The sequence below is a fragment of the Homo sapiens genome, chromosome 4 (genome assembly GCF_000001405.40).
Source record: "Homo sapiens chromosome 4, GRCh38.p14 Primary Assembly".
NCBI lineage: Eukaryota > Metazoa > Chordata > Mammalia > Primates > Hominidae > Homo > Homo sapiens.
The window spans coordinates 103,564,307-103,577,864 of record NC_000004.12 but is presented as its reverse complement, the minus strand read 5'-3'; the positions used below and the strand labels follow the sequence as shown (position 1 = coordinate 103,577,864).

General features: G+C 36.8%; 1 long non-coding RNA gene and 1 pseudogene across 1 annotated transcript in view; both read right to left on the bottom strand.

The window, feature by feature from the left end:
• TACR3-AS1 (TACR3 antisense RNA 1) overlaps positions 1 to 13,558 on the bottom strand; it is a 75,707-nt gene that overhangs the window by 46,587 nt on the left and 15,562 nt on the right. The window lies entirely within an intron of this gene.
• DDX3P3 (DEAD-box helicase 3 pseudogene 3) lies at positions 1,336 to 5,863 on the bottom strand (annotated as a pseudogene).

Below are 13,558 nucleotides of genomic sequence, written 5' to 3'. Positions count from 1 at the left end.
ATGGAAAAATGAAACTCTTTAAAATAGCATATTTAAATATTTCCAAAAAAAATCTATGTTTAGGTTTTGTAAATATGCACACAAGAAATATTTTAGAGAAAGTTTCCTCCTTTTTCCATGAATTATGAGAAACCTTCTTTTAGGCTTAGAGCTCCAAATTCATAGTGAAATAAAATCAGACCGGGCGCAGTGGCTCACCCCTGTAATCCCAGCACTTTTGGAGGCCGAGGCGGGTGGATCACCTGAGGCTGGGAGTTCGAGACCAGCTTGACCAACATGAAGAAATCCCATCTCTAGTAAAAGTACAAAATTAGCCAGGTGTGGTGGCGCATACCTGTAATCCCAGCTACCTGGGAGGCTGAAGCAGGAGAATCACTTGAACCCAGGAGGCAGAGGTTGTGGTGAGCCGAGATGACACCACTGCACTCCAGCCTGGGCAACAAGAGTGAAACTCCAAAAAGAAGATAGAAAGAAAGAAAAAGAAAGAAAGAAAGAAAGAAAGGAAGGAAGGAAGGAAGGAAGGAAGGAAGGAAGGAGGGAAGGAAGGGAAGGAGAAAGAAAGAAAGGAAGGAAGGAAAGAAAGAAAGAAAGAAAGAAAAAGAAAGAAAAGAAAGAAAGAAAGAAAGAAAGAAAGAAAGAAAGAAAGAAAGAAAGAAAGAAAGAAAGAGAAAGAAAGAAAGAAAGAGAAAGAACGAACGAACGGCGGGCAGGCAATCAAGCAACCTCTTTAACTACTTTGAAATTTCTTTTGACCTTGAGCATGACAACTAAAGTACACATGCTAGCTGTTCTCAGGCTGAAAGACCTGTCATCCCATCTTAATTTCAAAAAGATAGCTGCCTCCTCTCGATGGCTTAATATTTCTTAGATTTCACCTCCTGATTTTTCTCAGGAATTGAATGAACTTCCACAAACACAAATCAGCCATTTATCTTTTATGCCTGTCAAAATCCATGGAATTCATGGTTCAATACACAATGTAGTTCATCTACCTTGTATGATAGCAACCTACCTCACATGATAATCTTGTAAACTATGATTATTAAGGACAACCCCTTATAGATAAGAGTGAAAGCAACTAAAAATATCTAAGCACTATATAAGTGCATTGCTAATACTTTTAAATGATCACATGAAATTGCATTGCTAAGAATGGGGTTGAGATCATTGTGATATTTCAATCTACCATTATGATCATCCTCAGAGAATATGAGTATATATAGAATACAAAGTCCATAGAACATTCACAGTGGTCCATAATATTATACCAAGAACAAGAGTTTCCTTTCCATGTAGTCTTAGAGATTGTTCAATTTATGCATCTTATCTATTTTTTGTAGTTCAACTTTATTTTAATAAAATCAGAATATTCACAGCACATGCATTGCTAGCATCTGAACTATTATACTAAGCAATTACTAAAGGTACAGTGACTTGAGGTGCAATCTTTACATTCAGCAAGTTTAAAACCTTACATGATTTTGAAATCTTATTTATTAACTGAAAATACTGCCTGCTGATAAAACTTGCTCAAACGCTATCACTGAATGTACAAGTCACTGATTATGCCAACTAAATTGCCAACTAAAGATAATCACGTTTGAGGATTGCAATGTGCCAGACATTCACTGAAAAAAAATACATAAAATTCAACAAAACTCACACAACAAACATCTGAAAATCTGGACACTTCGTATCAGTGTGGTGAAGTGTTTCATTAATATCTTAAGACAAGTGTATCAATACCTTGGCATGATTTAATTTCAAGTTGTCAATTTTGTTTTTACTAATATCAGAAAATTATAGCTATACTGCCAATGCCAGGTCTGCTTAATTTGACTTAAGAGTTTAATATGACTTAACATTAAAAGCTCACACTACCCTGAAATATATAATTTCACGAATATGGTGACATTCAACATTCAAGTGCCATTGTGTTTGTACTGTCTTTTAGTCAAGTTTCTTTAAACTTTCAAAGAATCACTTTTAGGCTTACAAATAAATATTTGTCAAAATGTTCAATAAATATTACATAAAACTAGCAGCAAAAAGTATCTAGAAATCTGTCGTGTGCAAATAGTTTTCTTCCCAATGGTCCCAAATAAATTTTAGAAATCTAGTCCCATCCCCTTCCCAGACAAGCTGTGTTCAACAATCTCCAAGAGACAAAATAAGATTGGAAGTTTAAGGACATGCACACAAGACAAGAGAAGACGTATATGCATATATATCTTAATGTGCAATAAAAGAAGTACTTTGTACAAATTATGGACAATAAGTACAAGGGCCTAAACCTAGACTAATTAAATAGCACCATGACAAATGACCTCAATACTGTCAAGTGTACCTACTTAATAAAAGTTCTAGAACAAGGCACAATACACTTGAAAATCTACTGCACTTTAGGAAATTTTTGCCATTTTCCTATGCCACTGTAAAAAGACTGAGCGCTTTAATCACCACATTCTGGCCACAAAATTAGATCAGAATTCAAAGTGGCAGAGGCATTTTAGTGGTGAACAATGCTCATCTTTGGCCAGATTTAACTTAAATTGACTATAAATACAATGGAAACCTATGCAACTAAAACTGCGCTGTAGAGTAAATTGACACCTTGTGCAATTATGTACATATTTCCAACCTGTGTGAGCTTAAAGATTTCAGTTAGTTACTCTTCTGGAGCCATTTTTACAAAGTCTATAGTAAGCCAGTTTAGCATCTCAACTCAGCTTGAACAATCATGTGAATCAGCATTTAAAGTAAAGCCTGCTGCATAATTCTTCCTGTTCATACCCTCTTAACCAGAAAACATCAACACTAGCATGTGTTATTAGACCAAAAATCATCCAGGGCCCTAACGAGGGTTGGTCTTTGCTGTGGTCCCCATCTACCATTTCAATTTCATTTATGGCAGGCATTTAAAAAGTCTAAGCAGATGAGTTCTCCTAAAAACCTATTTCAAGTTACCGGATCTTTAAGCATTCCCTGTAATAGTATGCCCACATTTGGCTAGCTCATAGTTAATAATCTGCCTAAACACTGAAAGAGGAGTTGCTGTATTTACTTGAGTTAACTTTGAAGACAGTGTTTGAATGTATGCATGTATTCATACATCACCTCATCGTGACTGGAATGGCTTGTTTAAAGGCTGTGAGGTTACAAATACCTATCCAGGACAGAGTGAGAAAATCAGAACTTTAACTTAATACAGTTTGCAGCAGTAGAAACTAATTCCATTAATATACTTTACAAGATTTGTTGTTTGTTTTCCCCCAGTTTTCAAGTATCAAAAAGCCCTAATGGAGGCTACCAAATAGGTTTATCCTTAAAATATTTATGGATGAATCGATGGTTCCTATTAAGTTGTATCACACCTGTGTCCCAAGGTTTGACTTTAGCCCAAGTTCAGTAATTTTTTCAAAACAATTGATGTATTGAGCCAACAGGACATCAAAATAAAAAGTTATCTAAAGTTAACATTAACAAACAAATGATCCTCAGTCACAAAATTATAAATGCAGTTTGGGTTGGAGGTAGGCAGGAGGGGAATTAATCCAAACAATGGCAATGAAGTCTTCAAACCACCTTCCAAACAAGGTTGTTAATTGTTCTTTTTTTCTTCTTGTGGAACCTTGAGCTCCCTTAAAAAAGAAAAAATTAGTGGAGAATCACAGCTGGTAATATACTGCAAGTTCTTCAAGCTACACAAGGTATCATCCAGCTAAGTTACATATGGTTTCCATATTAGCTTGTTTGGCAGGATGACCTACTGCAAAGCAGGCTCAGTTACCCACCAGTCAACTCTCTGGGAGTTATAATTTCCTCCATATCTATTAGTGTTGCAAAAGCCTCCATAGCCACCTCCACCAAATCTTCTGCTGCTGCCGTGGCCACCTTCACCACTGTGTCTGCTGCTTGCATGGCTGCTGCTGAAACTGGAACGGCTGGCACCACTATTTTGTCAGTAGCCTCTGGCACCAAATCCTCCACTAAATCTGCCACTCTTAGAACGTCCACAATTACTACCCTGGTAGTGGTGTTCATAAGCCATATTTTCTAACCAAGATGGCACTTCTTGTTTAGCTTCAACAAGAAGATGCAACAAATCCTTAGTGATATTTATGTTCCCCTCATTAAAGAACGAGGTGGCCAGGCCAAGGTTTTCTACACATCTTGTATGGCCAATGCCATATACATATTCTTCAATATCACTTGGCAAATCAAAATTGATAACATGTTCCACATTTGAAAGGTCCAGTCCTCTTACTGCTACTGCTATAGCCACTAGCATTGGGCTTTTTCCTGAGGGTAACTGGTGAAGAGCTTCTTCCCTATCCCTCTGAGAATGGTGTCCATAGATACTGGTACATGACTATCCTTCATGGTATAAGATATCCTCTAGAGAATAAAAACCCTTTTTGGTCTCCATAAACCTAAGGTTAGTGCGTACTTGCCTGGGATCAAGTGGATGTATTAGGAGGTCAAGCAGAAACAACTTTGTCTGATTCTTCCACCCAAACAACTTTCTTTGTGATGTTCTCAGAGGTAGAGCCAACTCCTCCATACAGCCAATAAGGTATTAATATATTCATTGAAGAAATCATGAGCGAGCATCTGTATGTCCTTAGGCCAAGTAGCACTAAACATCATAGTTTGGTGGACACCCTTTGGAGGCATGGTATCTTGTTCAACTTTTCTATGTATCTGAGGCTCAAACCCCATATCCAACATCTGATCAGCTTCTTCTAACACCAAGTATTCATAAAAGTTTAATCCAATCTTTCCTCTTTCCATCATATCCACTAGATATCCTGGAGTGGCTAGTAGCAAGTGCCATCCACCTTCTAAGACTCAAATCTGCTGAACAATAACAGCACCACCATAAATCACACAAGGAGGAACTCTAGATCAGTACGAAAATTTTCTTGCTTTCTCATTGATCTGTATTGCCAATTCTCTTCTTGGGGCTAATACCAAGAAGATTGGGTACTGTTTGCTGCGCCCTCACCTTTAATTTTCCTTCATGGCCCTCAAAGCCTCCTTTGGACCATCTGAATACATCTGACTCAACATGGGCAAGAGAAATGCTGCAGTTTTCCAGACCCTGTTTGGGCACAAGCCATCAAGTCTCTTTTCTCTTTTCTAATAGTAACAGCATGCTTTTGCACTGGAGTCAGGCTAGTATAATAACCTCCATGTTTCCCATGATAGTTTCTCCCATCTCAACATCACTGAAACTTTCAATATGTGGAGGACAATTGCTGTCTGTTGCCTCAACTAGAATGTCATCGTATTTCTCAAAATTAATCCCAGTGTTGCCTCCAGAAAAGAGTTCCTGTTCCAGCATTCACTTGGTGGGAGTGGTTTTGACCAATCATCTTCATCTTATTTGTCACACCAGTGACTGTTTTCACCACATGCTAATTTGCCAAAGCCACTTCTGTCACAATGGCTGCCAGTGCCATCATAATCACTCCATCCATGATTATCAAACCCTCCCCTTGATCCACTTCCATGATCTCTGAAGAAGCTAGACTTAGTGCTTGAATCATTAGGAGATTCAAAACTGCTGTAGGCATCCTTATCTTTGCTAGAACGCCACCCTAAACTGTCTTTATGGTAGAATCCTTAGTAGCTGCTCTGTTCCTCAACGAAAAGGGATATAGTGCCCTTTGCTGGCTGTACTTCCCCCACTCTGATTATCTGAATAGGCCAGGTCTAGGCCAGCAAACTGCTGGTCCAGCCCAAGCACATTTTCAATCACCACATGACTCATCCCTGAAGAGTACCCAGGAGTCTTCCACTGCTGAGCTAATATGTTTGTTTCACTGCGAAGGCCCTCTCATGAAAGAACTGTAGCTCTATTTTATCTGTCTTTAACAGAAAATATGTGTAAGAAGGCAAAACAACTATGTTCAGTTTAGTAAGAGTTGTTAAAAGTTAACATTTATTTTGCCAAATATAATTTATTATCTTTAATCAGCCTCACACCTCATATTACCAACTTAAGCATTTAGTCAGTATTTTGAAAGTCATACATGGCTTATTAAACACAACTTAATGAACTAGAGTATTATCCCAATCTTATAAATGAAGAAATTAGAACAGAAATTTTAAGCATCCTGCCCAAACTACAGTTTGCTACTCATGAAACTAAGCTTTGCATCCAGGTAGTTTGACTCTAGAACCTACCCATGGCTTTAACTAATAGTTTCTGAGATGCAGCCACATGAACTTGAAGTAAATGCTATGTTTATCCATCTATGACTATCATAATAACCCTAGGAAACAAACAAGTGTTTTGCGTTCTGATGTTTTAATCTTTAAAGAGTAGACATTATGCATTTCGTGTAGTAGTTTTGAAGTAGATGAACTACCACCTATAAGTGTTTTTTTGTTGTTGTTTTGTTTTGTTTTTGAGATGGAGCCTTGCTCTGTCACCCAGGCTGGAGTGCAGTGGCGTGATCTTGGCTCACTGCAAGCTCTGCCTTCCGGATTCACGCCATTCTCCTTCCTCAGCATCCTGAGTAGCTGGGACTACAACGCGCCCGCCACCGTGTCCAGCTAATTTTTTGTATTTTTAGTAGAGACGGGGTTTCACCGTGTTAGCCAGGATAGTCTCAATCTCCTGACCTCATGATCCACCTGCCTCGGCCTCCCAAAGTGCTGGGATTACAAGCGTGAGCCACTACCTGGCCCACCTCTATGTGTTTTAAAGCACATAGTGTTTTCAGAGAAGAGGCTGATCAGATGAATGCTTAGACATTGTATGAAGCCTGGTTACCATGATCAATTAACCCCAGTTCTGGTTCTTATTCTAAGCCTTAGGGTGTCCCAGTATTGATTCCAAATTAAGATAGTTAAGCAATATTAACAAAGTTCCCAGAAACTGGAGAAAATATCAGAATACTGACTAGTATATTGTCTTCCTACATGGAAAGACAAATTTGAGAACTTATGAAAGAATAAGTATTATTATATAGTCATTTTCATTTATTTATTTTTTATATATTGTTCCTTGGATAAAAATTCTAATCTATGCCTGACAGACTTGATTAATATTGCATCTATCCTTGATGAATCTATCTTGTTGAACCATCAAAATGCAAGTTAACCTCCAGTTACATTTGTGAACAAATAATTTCACTACAATATAATAAATTATCAAAGAATATATATAGAGAGAGAGAGTGCCATGAGAGCAGGTTGGGGAGAGGACCTCTGCCTATGTCAAAGAATTGGTAGGAAAGAAGAGATAAACAGGGAATAATTTTCACAAAGAGATGCTTGAGCTGAATCCTAAAGAATAAATACAAATTATCTGAAGAGGAGAAAAAAGGCAAGCACAGAGAACAGAGTATGCAGGAACAAGGAAGCCTAAGTAATACACAATTTTTTTTCCACTAACTGCTAAATAACTTTCGAAGTTAAGAAAGCTAATGGTATATCATCAGGCACCAATAAAACTATCTTGAGATTTGACAATGCCAACTGAAAAATTTCTTCTGCAAGGCAGAGCCAGTTACCTTTTATAATATCAATTTAGATTCACACAAATAAAGACATTCTCATGTCTTCCTCGCATTCTTCTCAGATTCTCTCAGCCAGCCATCAAAGTCATTTGACTGGACACTAATCTGATTACAAATGATCAAAGCCTTTCCTAACTGTAACACGTCAGATCAAACTTGGTGTGCAGTGTGTTTCCTGAATCATTATTAGCAATGAAAAAAATTTTTTTTTAATTTCTACTATATACACAAGCTAGTACATAACATTTTGGCCCAGCAATACTAATGCAGTCATTTTTATTTCAGGAAGGCTTTTGATGAAATATTCAGCTTTGTTTTATTACCACAATTTTTAAAGCAATGTGCTCAGTTCATGTCTGAGACTTACCACTTCAGTTCAGAGAGGGAAATGTGGGAAACAATAAGGGTCAAGTATGAGTGGAGAGATAAAGGGCTTGAGGTACAGGGAGGGGAGATATAAAGATCAAGAACTGAGTGACACCAAGTTCAGAGTGAGGGGCAAAGTTGAAATGAAGATTATGTATGGAGTGTAGACAATCCCCTGTCTCAGAACATTGTCTACTGCTGGTAAGTAATTACTGACCACGGAATGACAAAAAGAACTCTGAAGCATTATTCCATTAACAAAATATCTTCCCATGTTTGTTAGTCATTAATATTTTAAAGTATATGCAGTGCAAAAATAACAACAAAAGTAGATAAAATTTTACTATGAAACTATATATAAACTAGTGTAGCTTTCCTGAAATAAAACTATTTTTATGTAGATATTACAGTTTGATGTTCGATGAGGTTTTTTAAACAGTGAAGTTGAGCACAGAAGCAAATAAGTTAAGCAATACTAATAAACAGAATAGTTTCCATTTCAATAATCTTATCCTATACATAAGGTAATTTTTTAATTGAAATGGATTTTGTCCTTATCCCTACCTTTGAATGAATCCCTTCCATTTCCACTTATGACTGAGAAGAGAAAATCAAAGGAAAAATAGAATCGAACAGTAGTAAACAGTCTGAAGTAAATGTTTTCATCTGTAACAAAAATAAAATAAAAAAGAAGAAAAAAAAGAATTAATAAACTGTCTGCCACCTCCCTCAAAGAAAAACCCTCTGGTATTTATTATTATTTTATTTTTATAATTTATTGTTCACTCCCTTTACACCAGGGCTTGTGCCAAGCACCAGAAATACCGTGAAGAATAAAATATATTGAGAAGATGACTTCATAGAATTTATAGTCGAGTAAAGGAGATAGTACTCAGATAATTATATGAACATGGAATGCAGATGCGTTCAAGAGTTGTAAAGGGAAAAATCAGGATAAGAGTGCATTGCAGGGAAACATAAGCCAATTTATGAGACCAGGAAGACTTTCCTAAGAAAGGGACATTTAAGAAGAAACCTAAGGTGATCCTAAAGTTGAGATCATCCAGAAGAAAAGAGATTATGTTTCCAGACAGAGAGAAAAGTATGTGCCAGTGCTCTGAGATGGGAGCTTGTCTTGTTTGTGAAAATAAAGTAGGTTAGCAGGGCCCCAGTATAACCAATCATGGAGTGTGCCATGACAGAAAGGCAGGGCCATGGGGTGCTTGTTATACTCCTGCCTATGACCATAAGCAATTGCACTATTGGATAGAAAACAGCTCACAAAATCTTACATTGACTTGTGAAAGGGAGATGAGGCCAATTTTCTATGGAATTCTGAGCTTATCAATTTGCCTTTGATTCCATAGATTATTTTTTACATAGTGCGATTAACAGGAAACAGTAACTAGAGGCTACAGACCAGCAGACACCACTAGTTTCAACTAACTATAAATAAGTACCTACCAAGAACATCCAATTTCCCACAACTCTACAGAGACTCTCTTGTCAAGGTTATCACGTTGCAGGTCTGATGATTACTTACCTTCTATGACAACTCAGCAGCATTTGTCAGAAATAATCACTTCCTTCTTGGAATGCTTCTCTCAGCTCATAACACTTCGCCTTCCTGGTTTTCTTCCTACCTCAATAGCTACTCTTCCAAGTCTCCTTGATGCTCCCTTTCCTCTGCTCCAACTCTCAATGTTGAAACGCATCTAAAGCTCAACCTTTTCTCTTCTCTATCTACACATTCTTCTACTCAGTCCCATGATGTTAAATGTCCTTATCGCCTAAATCTTTACCTCCAATTCTGATGTCTCACAGTTTCAGACTTACATATACAACATGATGTCTCCACTTCGATGCAGTCTTTACAGTCATCTCAAATGTAACATGGCCAAAGGGACCTTAATTTCCCCGACGTAGGGTAAGACCTAAACTTTCAAGTGCTGCCTTGACATTTTTAACTTTACAGGGCCCGAAAGGCCTATCTGTGAGTTCTCTTGCTGTCACCAGATATGCCCCTACTCAGTAGGAAATGTTCTCTGCCCAGCTAGTTCTTCCGTCAGCTGTTGCATTCTACCCTGTCCTCAACCTAACAGGTTTAATCTCCCGGCCAACCCATACAATTACTCAAGCAAAGCAATCCAATCCTTCTGCAGGAACCAGGGGACATCTCACCCTCCCATTACTAACAAAGCCTGCCTCCCACAGCCCAGTTCACTCAGCTCCTGAGTGCAACACCTGTGTGGCCCTTCACAGCATGCAGTGTGTTGTGGCTGGATGATCTCATCTGTCCAGTGTCAGGGGTTGTGTGCTTGAACATCTCCTATAATTTTGGGCACGAGATTCCTCCTTCACCAATGGGATGAATAGGAAGTGGTCATAACACCCCAAAACTAATTTTTCCTCTGATCTGCATCTTAATACATGGTGCTATCATTCAATAAGCTGTTTAAGCAGATAAATTCTCTTTCTTATTTTTCTCTCTTACCCACATCTAATCAGTCTGAAAGCCTTTTCAACTCTGCCTCAAAAACATAATCCCAAACTATCTGCTTCTCTCCATCTGCATTACCTTCTATGTTTACCTAATGTTATCTCTCATCAGAATCGCTACAGGGACACCCTAGCTGAACTCTCAGCCTTTACTTTTACCGTGAACAATTCACTGTTTACATAAAAGACATTTTTAAAAACTCTAGTAGTTTTCCATTACGCTTAAGATATGAATTCTTTCCCTAGCTTATAAAGTCTTAAATCATTTAATTCTGCCTGCCTCCTTAACTTATCTTGCCTTATGCTTCACATTACCCACTCATTTCAAGCACATTCAACTTCTCGTTTCCCTGGAACAGGATAAACTGATTTTCGTCTTTGGCTTTTTACACTAGCTGTGTTTTCTGCCTGAAAAGGGGCTTCTTCTTATCTTGTTATGGCTAGTTAATTACTATCATTCAGATCTCAGTTAAAACAAGAGCTCCTCTTAGCTATATGTCCTTATCTATATCATATCACCTTTTAATCTTCTTCATACATTTATTGCCATCTGTTATCTGTTTACTTACTTACTCATTTACTTGATATTTTTGCCCTCTACCAGGCTGGAAACTGGGGAGAGTCAATGCCTTGATTGGCTTATTCACCACTGCAATCTCAGTATCTACAGCCATGCTAGACACATAATGGGAAAATAATATATAATGGCTAAAAGAACAAATGAATGAATTAAAGTAATGCAATAATTAAAGCATAAATGTATGATTTATACAGGCCATTATTCAAATCCCATTAGCTATTTCGTGGAGATATTAGGAATTAAACTAGATATAATGAGTTTTAAATTTCTAAACATCTCCTAGAATATACTACCTACACAATAATATAAACTACTATCAAACCGTTCAGTTGGCTTCTCAAAAAAATCAGGAGACAACACAGAAAAGTAAAATTAGAATCATAAACTCCAATTCACTCAGATCATTTAATTGCTAGACAGTTTTTTTAAAAAACAGATTGAACAGAAATTGCATAACTTCCTTTTCAGCATCTAGTTCATAATCTATTTGTTAAATAATAGCACAAAAAATCTATAAATAAGAAGCATGTAAGAGATAAAGTCTTCACAACTTATTTGACTAAGTTGTAATCTTATTGGCTATTTTAAAGCATATCTCTCAAACTAGGCTTAAGGCTCACTACAAGTGTGTAGAAATATACGAAAGTCATAGTACCATTTCTCATGTCAAGGTGCTTGGAATCACAGTAAAGCAACTTAATATGCAATTTTAAACAGCTGAAACAGAATTTAACTTGCCTTACACTTTTGAGCTGTTATACAAATGCTATACATTTTACATTTTTGGAAAATAGTAGTCTCTGACAGTTATATTTCTGTGTGGTCAGTGATAATATACCCTTTGTCATTTCTAATTGTGTTTATTTGGATTTTAACTCTTTTCTTTTTTATTAGTCTAGCTAGTGGCCTATTTTATTATCTTATTCAAACACCAACTCCTGAATTTATTGATCTTTTGAATGGTTTTTCACATCTTAATCTCCTTCAGTTCAGCTCTGATTTTGGTTATTTCTTTTCTCCTGCTAACTTTGGGATTGGTTTGCTGTTGGTTCTCTAGTTCTTTTATTTGTGATGTTAGGTTGTTAAATTGAGATCTTTCTAACTTTCAGGTGTGGGCATTTAGTGCTACAAATTTCCCTCTTACCACTGTCTTAGCTGTGTCCCAGAGATTCTGGTATGTTTTATCTTTGTTCTCATTAGTTTCAGGGAACTTCTTAATTTCTGCCTTAATTTCATTATTTATCCAAAAGTCATTCAGGAGCAGGTTTTTAATTTCCATGTAATTGTATCGTTTTGAGCAATTTTCTTAGTCTTGATTTCTAATATTATTGCACTGTGGTCCAAAAGAATGGTTGGTATATTAGTTCTTTTTTATTTGCTGAGGATTGTTCTATGTCTGGTTGTGTGGTCAGTTTTAGAGTATGTGCCATGTGGTGATGAATGTATATTGATGAATGAAGAATGTATATTCTGTTGTTTTGGAGTGGAGAGTTTTATAGGTGTCTATCAGGTCCATTTGATCCAGTGCTGAGTTAAGGTCCTGAATGTCTTTCTTAATTTTCTGCCTTGATGATCTGTCTAGTCAGTGGGGTGTTGAAGTCTCCCACTAGTATTGTGTGGGAGTCTAAGTCTCTTTGAAGGTCTCTAAGAAATTGCTTTATGAATCTGGATGTTCCTATGTTGGGTGCACATATATTTAGGATAGTTAGATCTTCCAGTTGAATTGAACCCTTTACCATTACGTAATGCCCTTTTGTATCCTTTTTGATCTCCGTTGGCTTAAAGCCTGTTTTTTCTGAAATTAGGATTGTGACCCCTGTTTTTTTCTGTTCTCCATTTGTTTGGAGATTTTCCTTCATCTCTTTATTTTAAGCCTATAGGTGTCATTGCATGTGAGATGGGTCTTTGGAAGACAGCATACAATTGGGTATTGGTTTTTTATCCAGCTTGCTACTCTGTGCCTTTTAATTGTGGCATTTAGCCCATTTACATTCAGTAACATGTATCTAATAAACTTTTGTTAACAAGAAGAAGATAATTTTATTATGAAACATGATTTTCTCCATGGACTTGTGTATAACACTTAAACAAAACATTTATCAGAAATAGGTATTGAGCATTTTTCTCCAAAATTATTCCCCTTTACACTATCCCCAATGTATAACATATATGACAATAGAAAGTGCTTGATGATTTTAGGTTATAAGAGTATGTCAAATCCAACTTTTCACCAAAAATAAAATTCAACATTGGACTCAAGACTTTAACATTTAAAAGTAACTGCTTTGAACTTCCTTTTCTGTGTGAGATTTGAAATTTTTATGTTAGTTTAATGCTATATAGTACTCCATTGTATGTGTATGCCATACTTTTATCTATGGTTGATGGGAATTGAGGTGTTTTTAATGTGGACTATTACCAACAGTGATGCTATGAAATAGTCTTATACTAGGTTTTAGATGCATAGGTCATAGAGTTGTAGGAAATATGCATGTTCAGCTTTAGTAGGTATTGCCAGTTTTCAAAAGTGGTTGCAATAATTTACACTTCCACTAACACCATATGAAATTCCAATGGCTCC